General features: G+C 39.5%; 1 protein-coding gene across 3 annotated transcripts in view; it reads left to right on the top strand.

Moving 5' to 3' along the window:
- The window catches only part of RBM18 (RNA binding motif protein 18), a 27,219-nt gene extending 14,712 nt beyond the window's left edge, over window positions 1–12,507 (top strand). For 2 of the 3 annotated variants that reach the window (NR_027126.2, NM_033117.4), the window contains 3 exons: window positions 2,525–2,611; window positions 4,788–4,873; window positions 8,086–12,507. Coding sequence is in view for 1 of the 3 variants with exons in the window: in NM_033117.4 (NP_149108.1) it covers window positions 2,525–2,611; window positions 4,788–4,873; window positions 8,086–8,245 (333 nt within the window). In the remaining 2 variants the exon portion in view is untranslated. Of the gene's footprint in view, window positions 1–2,524; window positions 2,612–4,787; window positions 4,874–6,260; window positions 6,386–8,085 lie in introns of all 3 variants that reach the window. The other variant, NR_027125.2, reaches the window with a different exon arrangement.

Genomic DNA, 12,507 nt, shown 5'->3' with positions numbered 1-12,507 from the left:
TTTTGAGGGAAGTGAAATAATGCAATATAGAATATAGAATTAGCATTCTTTTTTTTTTTTAAATAAGGTCTTGCTCTGTTACCCAGGCTGGAGTGCAGTGACACAATCATGACCCACTGCACCCTTGACCTCTGGGTTCAAGTGATCCTCCCACCTCAGCCTCTGCAGTAGCTGGGACTACAGGCACATGCCAGCATGCCTGGCTAATTTTTGCATGTTTTGTAGAGATGGCATTTCACCATGTTGCCCAGGCTGGCCTCAAACTCCTGGGCTCAAGCCAACTGCCCTTCTCTGCCTCCCAGAGTGCTGGGATTCCAGGTGTGAGCCACCACACCTGGTCAGCATTTTTAAATATTTTATTCTTTCTTAATGATAAAATGAAGTGTGGTGAGAATTCTTTTTGTTGTTGTTTTTTTTTTTGAGACAGGGTCTCTCTTTGTCATCCAGGCCGGAGTATAGTGGCACGATCACAGCTTAGTGCAGCCTCAACTTCCTGGATTCAAGCAGTTCTCCCACCTCAGCCTCCCAAGTAGTTGGGACCACAGGCACACACCACTACCCCAGCTAATTTTTGTATTTTTTGTAGAAGCGGGGGTTCGCCATGTTGTCAGGCTGATCAAACTCCTGGGCTCAAGCAACCAGCCTGCTTCGGCCTCCCAAAGTGCTGAAATTACAGGCGTGAGCCACCATGCCCGGCCTGGGAATTGTTGCAGACAACTAAAATCAGTGATCATGTTGGGCATAGATGTTGGTTTAAAAACACTGGGTTAGGATACAAAGCCTAGTTTATATTTCTGGCTCTTTTATTTATTAACTTTGAGCAAGTCTCCTAACTTCTTTTGGCCTCAATTTTCCATCTAAGAATGGAGATTAAAAATACATATCCTTCTTACCTTATGGGAAGTTGGGAGAATAGATGAAAGTATAAAAAAAAAGTAGACATTTAATAATATTTTTAAATATATGAACTTTGAAATAATTTGTACAGGTAGGAAATTATTTTAAAAAAAACATTTAAAAATAAGATGCCCCTGCTGGCAGCTTATTACTGCTCCTACTTTGGAACTAATAGAGTGCTCTATGAGTTCTCATTCACCAAATGAAGCTTAAAGGAATAAAATATTTCTTACCTGTCACTCTAGCTTTGTGTGCTGTAGTGGGGCAAGGATGATTAGTGAATATCCAATGCCTACTACACAGTGAGAACTCAGTAAATATTTGTTAAATGTCATACTGGTAGGTTCTGGAGGAACAAGAGAATCACCAGTAAAACCAGACTGGAATGCCAACTGGCTTCTATAGCCTCTCCCGCTCCCTGGGACATCCTGTTCCTCCTCTGTTCCTTAAGGGCTTCTTCACCCTCACTAAACATGGGTTACACTTGGCTGAATGCCTCATGGATGCAAATGGGGCAAAGAAGGTTTGGCAGGATGGAAAGTACAGCCAGGTTTCCTGGGAATGACCTAGAGTGACTGTTAGCCAGCTTCAGGAATTCCTTTCAACCGTATTACTCCTCTGTCTGATGGGGAAAGGGTCAAGGAACTTTCGGCTCTGAAAACCAGGTGCATAGATTGACTCACACAGATACCTTGCTAACGGTCTCTTTGACTCACTCCTGCTTTTTCCGGCCTAGTTTCCTTGACTCCCATGCCCTTTAAAGCAATTATTCCTCACTATGAATCCAGGGAGTATGCCCTAGTCCAGGATATGGTTCCAGGGCCCTTGCGGGGAGTACAGTTTCTTGACATAGGAGGTGCTACCCTACCTAACGGAAGTGCATATATGTCTATCACCTAATAGGAACAGCACTATTACTAACATATGTTAAGTGCATATCATATACTTCATGCTTTACATTCTTTGAGTCCTCACAACCACTGAGGAATAAGTATCCATATTATCTATTAAAGATTATACATTATTTATCTGTATTTTACAGTTGACAAAGCTAGAGACACTTAAGTGACCTGCCAAATAGCATACTGCCAGCAAATGGCAGACCAGGATTTGAATTTTTGTCTGACTTTAAAAAATTCACGCCCTTAGCCAGGCGCAGTAGCTCACGCCTGTAATCCCAGCACTTTGGGAAGCCGAGGGGGCGGATCATTAAGTTGGGAGATTGAGACAGTCCTGGCCAACATGGTGAAACCCCGTCTCTACTAAAAAATACAAAAAAATTAGCCAGGCGTGGTGGTTCATGCCTGTAGTCCCAGCTATTCGGGAGGCTGAGGCAGGGGAAGCGCTTGAACCTGGGAGGCGGAGATTGCAGTGAGCCGGTATTGCACCACTGCACTCCAGAGCCTGGCGACAGAGCAAGACTCCATCTCAAAAAAAAAAAAAAAACAACAAAAAAACCATGCCCTTTTTAAAATTCTGCCTTGTAAAATTGTAAACCCTTGCCAGTTATTTACCAAAAACAATTTGTTAGAAACTCAGCCATCAAAGCTAGTGAAGCCCTGTGAGAATACATATAGCTAGTTAAGCATTTCAGTTTTTAACTAACATTTGTCCCTTTCCTGGACAGGAAGCAGAGCAAGCCATCCAGTGTCTCAATGGCAAGTTGGCCCTGTCCAAGAAGCTGGTGGTGCGATGGGCACATGCTCAAGTAAAGGTACGTCTGAGAGGCTAGAAAGACATCAAGCCTCATCCTAAACAAGCCTTCTGAAAGATGGTTGTCCACTTACCCGTTTATGTCCCAATCTCTTCACACCTGAAACAGCCATACTTCAGTCTCCTACTTGTATCTACCATGTGTGTTGCCCGATTTTTCTTTTGAAAACATCTCGGGAGGGATTAAGTTCCTTGGTTATTTCTCTCCACATGCCCACTGATCCTGGTTTTGATTTTCTCATGTGGCTAATGTGTACGCTCAGACCTCTGTCATTTCTTCGGGTGGAGGGTTCTTTGGAGGAAAATATATATTTATTTTTAAAATCAGTTGCTCTAGGCATTATTAGACTCTTCCCAGCCTTTGACTCTGTGGAGATTTGAATTTGTTTATTCTAAACGCTTGAGACATGGGTAGTTTCTGTGAGTGCTTAAAGCACTGGCATCTCCTTACTCCAGAAATCTTGGGAGTTACTAGGGTGTGGGTTCGTGGGACTTTGCAGTGTCTGTATTGTGTCTAAGTCCTGAGAAGTAGCAGGCTGCCCTGTTCATTCTGTAATTAGTCTCCTGGGAGAATGCGCTAGAAAAGCTTCAGCCATTAAAAAAAACAAAACAAATGGCATTCTGTTCCAGCTGGCACAGAGGTGGTAAAGTGTGTTGACTGGAGCGTTCCCAAGAGTTGATCTGCCTCCTTCTGCAGTGGGGACTTGAAAAACCTGCCTGCACAAAGATTTGTGACAGTTTTGAGTTGGAGCTGAAATCTTTAGCTCTAAGCATGGTTTTTGATCAGAGGCTCTCTACCCCACTCCCCAACAAACTTCCCAGTAAAGAGTCACAGAGACTAAACAAGACATTTAAGCTCAATGTCCAAGCTGAAAAACTAAGTTCAGATACTTTAGATCCTTCTGAGTATTTCAGGTAATCACAGAGCCTTCTCAATTTCTAGGACACATTGCCTTAAAAATAGAAACAACAAGGAGAATTACCAAATGCTTTTTTACTCAAGGGAAAATCAAGTCTCATTTACCAAACTCGTTTTCTCGTTCTGCATCTCATTGAAAAGGCACGCAAGAGAAATCATCCTCCATTCCTGTCTTTCATTTGAAAATCTCTGTGCCTCACGGTTCTCTTCTCCTATAAATCTTTTTTGACCAGAGGCTCTTGATTGCTCTTCAATATTATATTTGCTTTTTACAAGAAGTATGTAATTATCTGGCTAGGCATGGTGGCTCATGCCTGTAATCCCAGCACTTTGGGAGGCTGAGGCAGGAGGATCGCTTCAGCCCAGGAGTTCAAGACCAGCCTATGCAACATAGTAAGACCCTGTCTTTATTTTTTCTAATAAAATTTTAAAAGAATAAAAAAGTATGTAATTATCTGGCATCAAATTAAACTACTACTTTACTGTAGAATGTTTTCTGTATCAACAACTGAAAGCTGTTACAACTTTTATTCTTCACTCAGGCCTGTTAAGAGTTGAATATTATGCTTGGTTGGTACTTTGCAAAATTTAAAGGTTTTTTGTTTTTTGAGATAGGGTCTGGCTGTGTCACCCAGGCTGGAGTGCAGTGGCAAGATCTTGGCTCACTGCAACCTCTGCCTCCCAGGCTCAAGCAATCCTCTTACCTCAGCCTCCTAAGTAGTTGGGACTACAGGCATGTGCCAGCATGCCCGGGTAATTTTTGTTTTTTGTTTTTTTTTTTTAAATAGAGACAGGGTTTTTGCCATGTTTCCCAGCCTAGTCTCAAACTCCTGAGCTCAAGCAATCTGCCCACCTTGGCCTCCCAAAGTGCTGGGATTACAGGCGTGAGCCACCGCGCCTGGCCAGTTTAAAGTATTTTTAATAAAATAAATATTGTAAGAGGTGATATGTGACAGTTAAGAATATAAGAAGGCCACCCTCCTGTGTGTTTGTACCATCTGAGATATTGAAAGTTGACATTTTTTTCCTACCAAATAAGGAGGAACTGATGGCTGGATGGAAGCTTCTTTTTCTAAACTTACAGCTTTTAGGCCAAAACCATGTGAAGTTTTTCATTAATTCTAAGTGTAAAGTGGTCCTAAAATTGTCTAGAAGTAAGCTGATGATATACTGATGGTATTAGTTTCTGAACCCATCCACTACAGTAAAGGGCTGGTTTCTGCCCATGTGAAGTAATTTCTCTATTTCTCATTTTCAGAGATATGATCATAACAAGAATGATAAGATTCTTCCAATCAGTCTCGAGCCATCCTCAAGCACTGAGCCTACTCAGTCTAACCTAAGGTAAGATGATGTACTATAGAAAGACACAGTAATTCAGGAGCTTCAGCCATTTCATTATTCCATGTCTTCGTTCATAAAATAGTGAGTCTTCAGACTCTTAGAATTTATTAACTTGACAAGAGAGATGTTCAGTTAGTCTCCAGAATGTATACATTTCCTCTCCTTCCATCCACCTAAGGTCATATACTCCCCATTTACAGAATCATTCCCTCGAAAAAGACTGGGTGTAGCTACTACACACCAACCCTTGTGCTTGGCACTAAAATTACAAAGACAGGTCAGTCATTACCCTAAAAACAAGCATTTTAATAAGGCCTTGGGTCTCTTTGGCATTTGTCATTATATACTAATTTTTCCCCAATCTTAAGTTCCCTTATACAAAATTTTAGTTTGCAGATGTTTGATTCTATGTACCATTGCAACAGCCATAACAGTTTTGGTTCTAGTTTGTACAAATTGTTAGTTATTTGAAGTTTAAAACAGGAGAACTAAGGGTTGGGTAGAGGAAGGGGAAGTTAAGTGGATGGTTGAGCAGAAGTAGAAGGTGGGTTTTTTGTTTGTTTGTTTTTTGTTTTGTTTTGTTTTGCCTTGTAGCCTAGGGAGACATTTTAGCAATAACAATAACAATAGCCAGGATTTATTGAGCTTACGCTGAAGCAGGCACTGTGCTAAACACTTTATTTGCAGTGTGTCATTTACTTATGGCTGAGATCACACAGATGGCAAATAACACTCAGGATTTAAAGCCAGGTCTATTAGACCTCAAAATTCAGTCTTGTAGTTACTACTTCAAAGAAGCCCCAGGCTGTAAATGCAGGACTAAAACCTGTTCCGGGGCAGGGGAAGAAAATACGTGAAGGAGCATCAGTGATACATAAGGATCAGAAACCAACAATTCTAAAGTCAGGAAAGTGATGCCTATTTGGGTGGAGTACCAAGCAGGGGAAATAAATGCCTTTCTTGTATATTATCTGCACCAAACAAAACAGATTTACAAGCATCTCATTAAACCCAAGGGAAGGTGTTCCTGAAATGTTTTCAGGAATGGTAAATTGGTAAATTTAAATTCATTCTATAGTTATTCATTTAAGTTTAATATGATTTTTTTTTTTTATTTCGTGCTCTAGGGAATTAAGGGACTTCTGTAGAGTCACTGGGAGCATATATCCACTGTGTTATTTTCCTCATAAGATTTGAACCTCCTTGATCACAGATTGATTTCCATGAAGGTTTTCATAAATCTAACTAACTCCTATTTGAAAGAGATGACTGCATTTATGCTTGGTGGTCTTCATGTTACAATGAACATGTCTTTAGTTTCTTATGATTTGTATATGCCACTTGTTTACAAGATAGCCTAGGGTTTTCCATCTATTTTTTTATCCAGAGGACCTCAGCTTACATCTCTCTATTAACATCTATGCCTAATGAGAGAAGGTTGCTTCCCTGTGACTTATACAAAATCAGTGACCAGCTGTGGCATTAATGGAAGAGGGGCCAGAATGCATCTCGGTAATATATCAGTGTTCTTTTTCTTGTAACTTAGTTTTTAAATTTCTCGCCCATGTATACCTTTCGAGGATCTCCAAAAGCCCATGTATATACTCCTTCCAAGTTTCTCTCACTGGCCATAGACCATTAACGCATCAAGAATGGAAAATGAAGGTAGCCATAGGCCAAAAAATACCTACTCCCTGAGTGCTCTGCATTCTGATCCAGGGATAGCAATGATCTCAATCAAAAGCAAATTCCTCGCAACTTCTCTAAGATCTCCTCTCCCTTCCTGTACAATATAGGACTATTCAGCTCTTAACTTGATGGAGAAGAAAAAATGAGGGCTTTGGTGATGAGTTGAATCCTCACTACAGTTTGTTAACTGTGTGAACCTTGATCATATCACCACCTCTGCATTTGTTTCTGTATCTATAAAACATGCATGATAACCCATGTAGAGCCATTGCAAGGATTAAAAACATTATAAGTAGGTCGAGTGCAGTGGCTCATGCCTGTAATCCCAGCATTTAGGGAGGCTGAGGCAGGAGGATTACTTGAAGCCAGGAGTTCAAGACCAGCCTGGACAACATAGTGAGACTCCATCTCTACAAAAAAAGTTAAAAAAATCAGATGGGGCTGGGCGCGGTAGCTCACGCCTGTAATCCCAGCACTTTGGGAGGTCAAGGCGGACGGATCACGAGGTCAAGAGATTGAGACCATTCTGGCCAAAATGGTGAAACCCTGTCTCTACTAAAAGTACAAAAATTAGCTGGGCGTGGTGGCGCTTGCTACCTGTAATCCCGGCTACTTGGGAGGCTGAGGCAAGAGAATTGCTTGAACCTGGGAGGCGGAGGTTGCAGTGAGCCGAAATCACACCACTGCACTCCAGCCTGACGACACAGCGAGACTCCATCTCAAAACAAAAACAAAAACAAATTCAGATGGATGTGGTGGTGTGTGCCTGTAGCCCTACCTACTCACGAGGCTGAGGCAGTAGGGTTGCTTGAGCTCAGGAGTTCAAGGTTTTAGTAAGCTATGATGGCACCACTGTATTACAGCCTTGGTGGCAGAACAAGACCCTGTCTAAAAAAAAAAAAACAGTATAAGTAAAATGCACTGTGCCTGGCTCATTGTAAGCACTTTGTAAATGATAGTTTTTATTAACATGCATTCATCAGTAAAAAGAGATTGTATAGGATTTCCAGAATGTTTTTTTTCCATTTTTATTCAGTGATTCAGGTGAAACCTGGGCTTTTGAGTCAGTTTGTATTCAAATCTCTGCTCTATCGTTTACTTGCTGTGTAACATTGGGCAAATGAACCTTTCTGTGCCTCAGTTACATCATCTGCAAAATAAGGAATATAACCTATCTTATAATGTTGTTTTCAATTCTAAAAGAATTATTTTTAGTACCTACTCTCTGCCAAGCATTAAGGTGCTAACAGTGTCTGCGTCTGAGGATTAAATGTAGAACTATATGAAGTACTCCCAACAATGTCCAGGCTTATGTTAAAAACTTAATAGATGGCTCAGACTTGATCTGTTTCTTAGAATGAGAGAATTAGTTATTTCTGGCTTTTATATAAAATGTTTAAATGTCTGTAATTTAGTATCTTGTTGCGTCTCTAATATTCCCAAGAGGCTCAAGGAGAGGAACTGTACAGCTATTTTCTGAATATACCTAGGCCCACTCTGATCCTCTGCTATTATTTTTCCAGTGTCACTGCAAAGATAAAAGCCATTGAAGCAAAACTGAAAATGATGGCGGAAAATCCTGATGCAGAGTATCCAGCAGCGCCTGTTTATTCCTACTTTAAGCCACCAGATAAAAAAAGGACTACTCCATATTCTAGAACAGCATGGAAATCTCGAAGATGATGGTTGTGAATTACTGTAGCAGCAAAAGCAAATTGGTCTCCACACCTAAAATCGTCTGCCTGTGTACTTTGTAGATGTGAATGGTACTATTCAACGGAGCACAATCACATGTTAGCATTTGGTAACATAATGTTTTTGGATGTTCTTATGGATGTTTCTTCCCTAAACTATGTATGGAATTGAGCATCATCCAGAATAAATAGCGTTGTATCCCAAATTGTGATTTGAACCCTGGGATGCTCTAATTGGCTGGTTGGTTTGGATTTGTAACTCCAGAAACATTCTATAGTGTGCCAGAGCAAAAGGCAAATACACAAAATATTATTTAAATCAGGAAACTAAAAATATTAACATCTATTAAAAAATTGAGCATTTTTCTACGCTCGTGTGTCTTTTACAACATAAAGAAAAAGTAAAAGGCAGGGAGGGAAGTGAGAGACAGATTTTAAATCATGTTCAGAACTGTTGTTCCAGAATTTACTACGGCAATCCCTCCAACTGGACTGAAAAAGAGAAAGTTCTTGGCAAAAAGGAGCTGATTCTTTGAACAAATGTTGTAGTAATCTGTTTAAGAATTATGCTTATTGTTTCAAAATCCCAACTAGGAAAACATGGTGTATATCTTAAAATTGTTTGTGTTGACAAAACTAGAATCAAATTTAACATTTTATACCACAACACAAGTTCTATTTGGAAATTGAACTTTTATTCTATAGCAACCATTTTTTTCAAATCTAAATAACCATGCCTTCTATAATAACAAATGTTGCTATTATCATGGGACTTTTAAAATTACATTTATTGCATGGGATTGTTTTTATAGCATGAGAATGTTCTGTTTGGAATTATATCATGGTCAGTCTAAATAGAAAAAGCAAAATTTCTTTGAAAACCTAAACATTGCTATATTGGTCACTATCAAACATACAATTTTCTAATAATTGTGTAGCGGTCTAAGTGGAAGAGATTGCATTATCTTGTGCAGGACGAGGAGAGGACATGCAGTGGGCACAGAAAGTCAATGGAACAGATGCCACTGTGGCACCAAGACTGTAATGACTCTGTGTGGTAGGTAGTTTTAAAGGACTGCATGCCTTGGAAATGATTCTTCACTTGGAGAACATACTTGCCTCTAGATATGTTTGTCACTCTAAGCATCCTGAATATAACAATAGAGAAAGATAAGTCAACCAACAGATTTAGGGATGTGTTTCTTCAGCACATTTTGGTCATTTTGATGCCAAGTTTGACATACTGTTTAATTGGGCAGCACCTTTGCTCCTTTACCAGGTATGTATCACTTTGTTACTCCAGGTGCCATTCTTGGTGATGACAGAATGTTTATCACTATCGTTGTTAGCAAGAGGAAGCTTTCAATATAGGAACTTAACATCTTCCCATGAGTATAAATGAATTTAAGACATTTGAATCAAAACTTCAGTAGAGGGAGGTTTTAGAATTCATAAAACTGGTTTAAGGAAATTCTTTTTACTTTTCCCAAGGTTAATCTTTTTAAATATCTCTAGACATCAAATACTTTCTGTATGTATTAGCTGTGTCTGTCTATGATGCAAGTAACTCTCCTCCTATTTGGGGGATAGTTCAGAGAGGTAGGAGCATTATCTCCCATTTTTCTGGTGACTTCTTGGAGTATAGAATTCACCATTTTATCCGTAAGTCTTCAAAGGATTATGGTGGACTAGAACTTACATAGTGCAAAATAGTCTTCTATTTTTAATAGGAACTTAGAAAAAACTTAGAATTATATATAGAGTTGTTTCCTTTAGAAACCAGAGCTATTTATTTGTATTTAAAGCACTGTTTATTATTTGTACTGATTCTTATCCCTCTGTGTGAATAAATGTAAGACGGTGTCCGTGTGGTTATATCTTCTCTCGTTCACTTACTGGCATAGACTGCAGTTCTCTGACAGGCTTGTTTCCACTCAGGACTCTGGCCAGCATGTCCACGTGGGGTGCTTCTTCTAAGTGCCTTCTCTGCAGAGGGTTCTGGCTAGAGAGTCAAACTGAGAGGCAACTCTCTTTACCCTTTATGCCTGCCTACCTCTGTTGTTAGAGATGAGAATAGAGACCAGCTGTTTCCATTGCAAATGTCACTATTTGAAAAGAAGTTGTTAATGGAAATCTCTGCAAGTATCGTACTGTGTTTAGTCTCTCGTGGTAGAGATTTCAAAAGAAGAAATGTATGTATCCTAAATATGCTGAAAGCAGTCTGATGAAAGGTTTTTAAATTTCAGGTGTTAACTTGGTCAACTCTTTGTTAGGAGGTTGTCTGTACTTTAAGTAAAATTATTCTTTGGTTTACTGGTTATTTTGGTTTGCTAAAATTATGTCACTTATAATTTTGATTTATATACAAGAGTGAAGAATTGAAGGAAATACTGAGGAGAGACGTATGAACTATTTTCTTCATCTCAATTCCTATTTTATCAAATGCAAAATGTAATCCTAACCAGTTGATTTTCTATAATTGGTATCTTAGTACTGGGGAGGAGTATCACATGAGGAAAGATTTTTCAAAGCATGTCAGCTGAGGCACAAGAATCGCTTGAACCCAGGAGGTAGAGGTTCCAGTGAGCCGAGATTGTGCCACTGCACTCCAGCCTGGGCAACAGAGTGAGACACCGTCTCAAAAAAAACAAAAACAAAACAGGTCAAAAATCAGTTGCACAAGTTGTATGAAACCAGGTATTCTGCAGCTCTGTCTCTTGTTTATTAAGATATGCACAGTTTCTGAATCAACAAATATATCTGTGATTCTTTTATACTACTACATAAAAGAACAGGAGTAATTCTTGCCTTATAAATTAAATGTCAAACATTTCCTATATGTAATCATTTGTTCCTAAAATATGATTTAGTCCCAGCATGCTTATCCCTGTTTTCTCTTTTTCTCTCCAGCTCCTATCTAGTTCTTCAACAAATCCTGTCAACTCTACCTTCCAAATGCCTCTTGAATCCAGCCATCTCACCACCTCCAACACTACCACCATTTTTCTTAAAGCCACCATCATCTCTTCCCTGGACTATTACAATACCTTCCTAATTATCTCCCTGCCTCTGCTATTGATTCTTTAGGGTCCGTTTTCCACACAGTAGCCAAAGCAATTTTTAAAAAAATTATTTTAAAATGTGATTCTCTTCTTTGTGGCTTTCCATCACAGCCTAGAAAAAATTGAAAGATCTGTAAGGCCCTAATGACCTGTCCTTCACTACGTGTCTGACCCTATAGCCTACTGTTCTCCCCTTGTGCGGTGTACTGCAGCCACGTTGGCCTTCTTGCTATTCTTTGAATACAAGGGAGCTTCTACTTCAAGGCATTTACATTGGCTGTTGCCTTAGCTTAGAACGCTCTTTCTCCAGATAGCCGCAGAGCCCGCTCTCTCACCTGACTCATGTCTCTGCTCAAATGTTAATGATCAAGAGGCAGTCCCCGGCCTCCCTCTTAAAATTACAACCTGTCACTCTCCAATCCTTTCCTCACGATTTTCTCAAAAGCACTTACCGCTAACCAACATTATATCTAAATTTTTTTTTGTCTCTTTTTATTGGAATGTAAGTTTCATGTAAGCAGGAACTGTATATCACTGCTATACCCTCAGCATTTAAAACAATGGCTGTACATCATACATACTCAATAAATATTTGTTGGATAAACTACAAGAATTCTGGTATTTGAGAGCCAAAGGGCCTTAAGAGACCATCTCATATAGCCCCCTCATTGTCCAGATGGGGAAAACGGGAACCCAGAGAGACAAAGCGATTTGGCCAGGGTCACCTGGTTAATGGGAGAGCTTTAGGTAGAACCCAGGCCTGCAAACATCTAGTCCAGTGTTCAGCAAACTGGCCTCTGCCTCCTAATTTTGTATAGCCTACAAGTTAAGAATGATTTTTTTTTCATTTTCGAGTGGTTGAGAAAAAAAGTAAACAAAATATATATACTATATTGTGACATGAAAATGATACGAAATTCAAATCTCAGTGTATGTTAATAACTATTAGAACACAACCATGCCCAGGCATTTACATGTGGCTGTTTTCCCCATATAATAGAAGAGTTGAATAGTTGGCAATGAAGACTGTGGCCTACAAAACCTGAAATATATACTATCGGTCCCTTTACAGGAAAAATTTGCCAAACCCTACTCTAAACAATATTCCATGACTGGAAATGTGTTTTCTAAAATTCTCGTATTAATGCAGAGAATAAAAGCAACAGATGTCAGAATGATGTGCACCGAA

The sequence above is a fragment of the Homo sapiens genome, chromosome 9 (genome assembly GCF_000001405.40).
Source record: "Homo sapiens chromosome 9, GRCh38.p14 Primary Assembly".
Lineage (NCBI taxonomy): Eukaryota > Metazoa > Chordata > Mammalia > Primates > Hominidae > Homo > Homo sapiens.
Note: the sequence above shows the minus strand (reverse complement) of the source record. Positions and strands in the feature narration are given on the sequence as shown.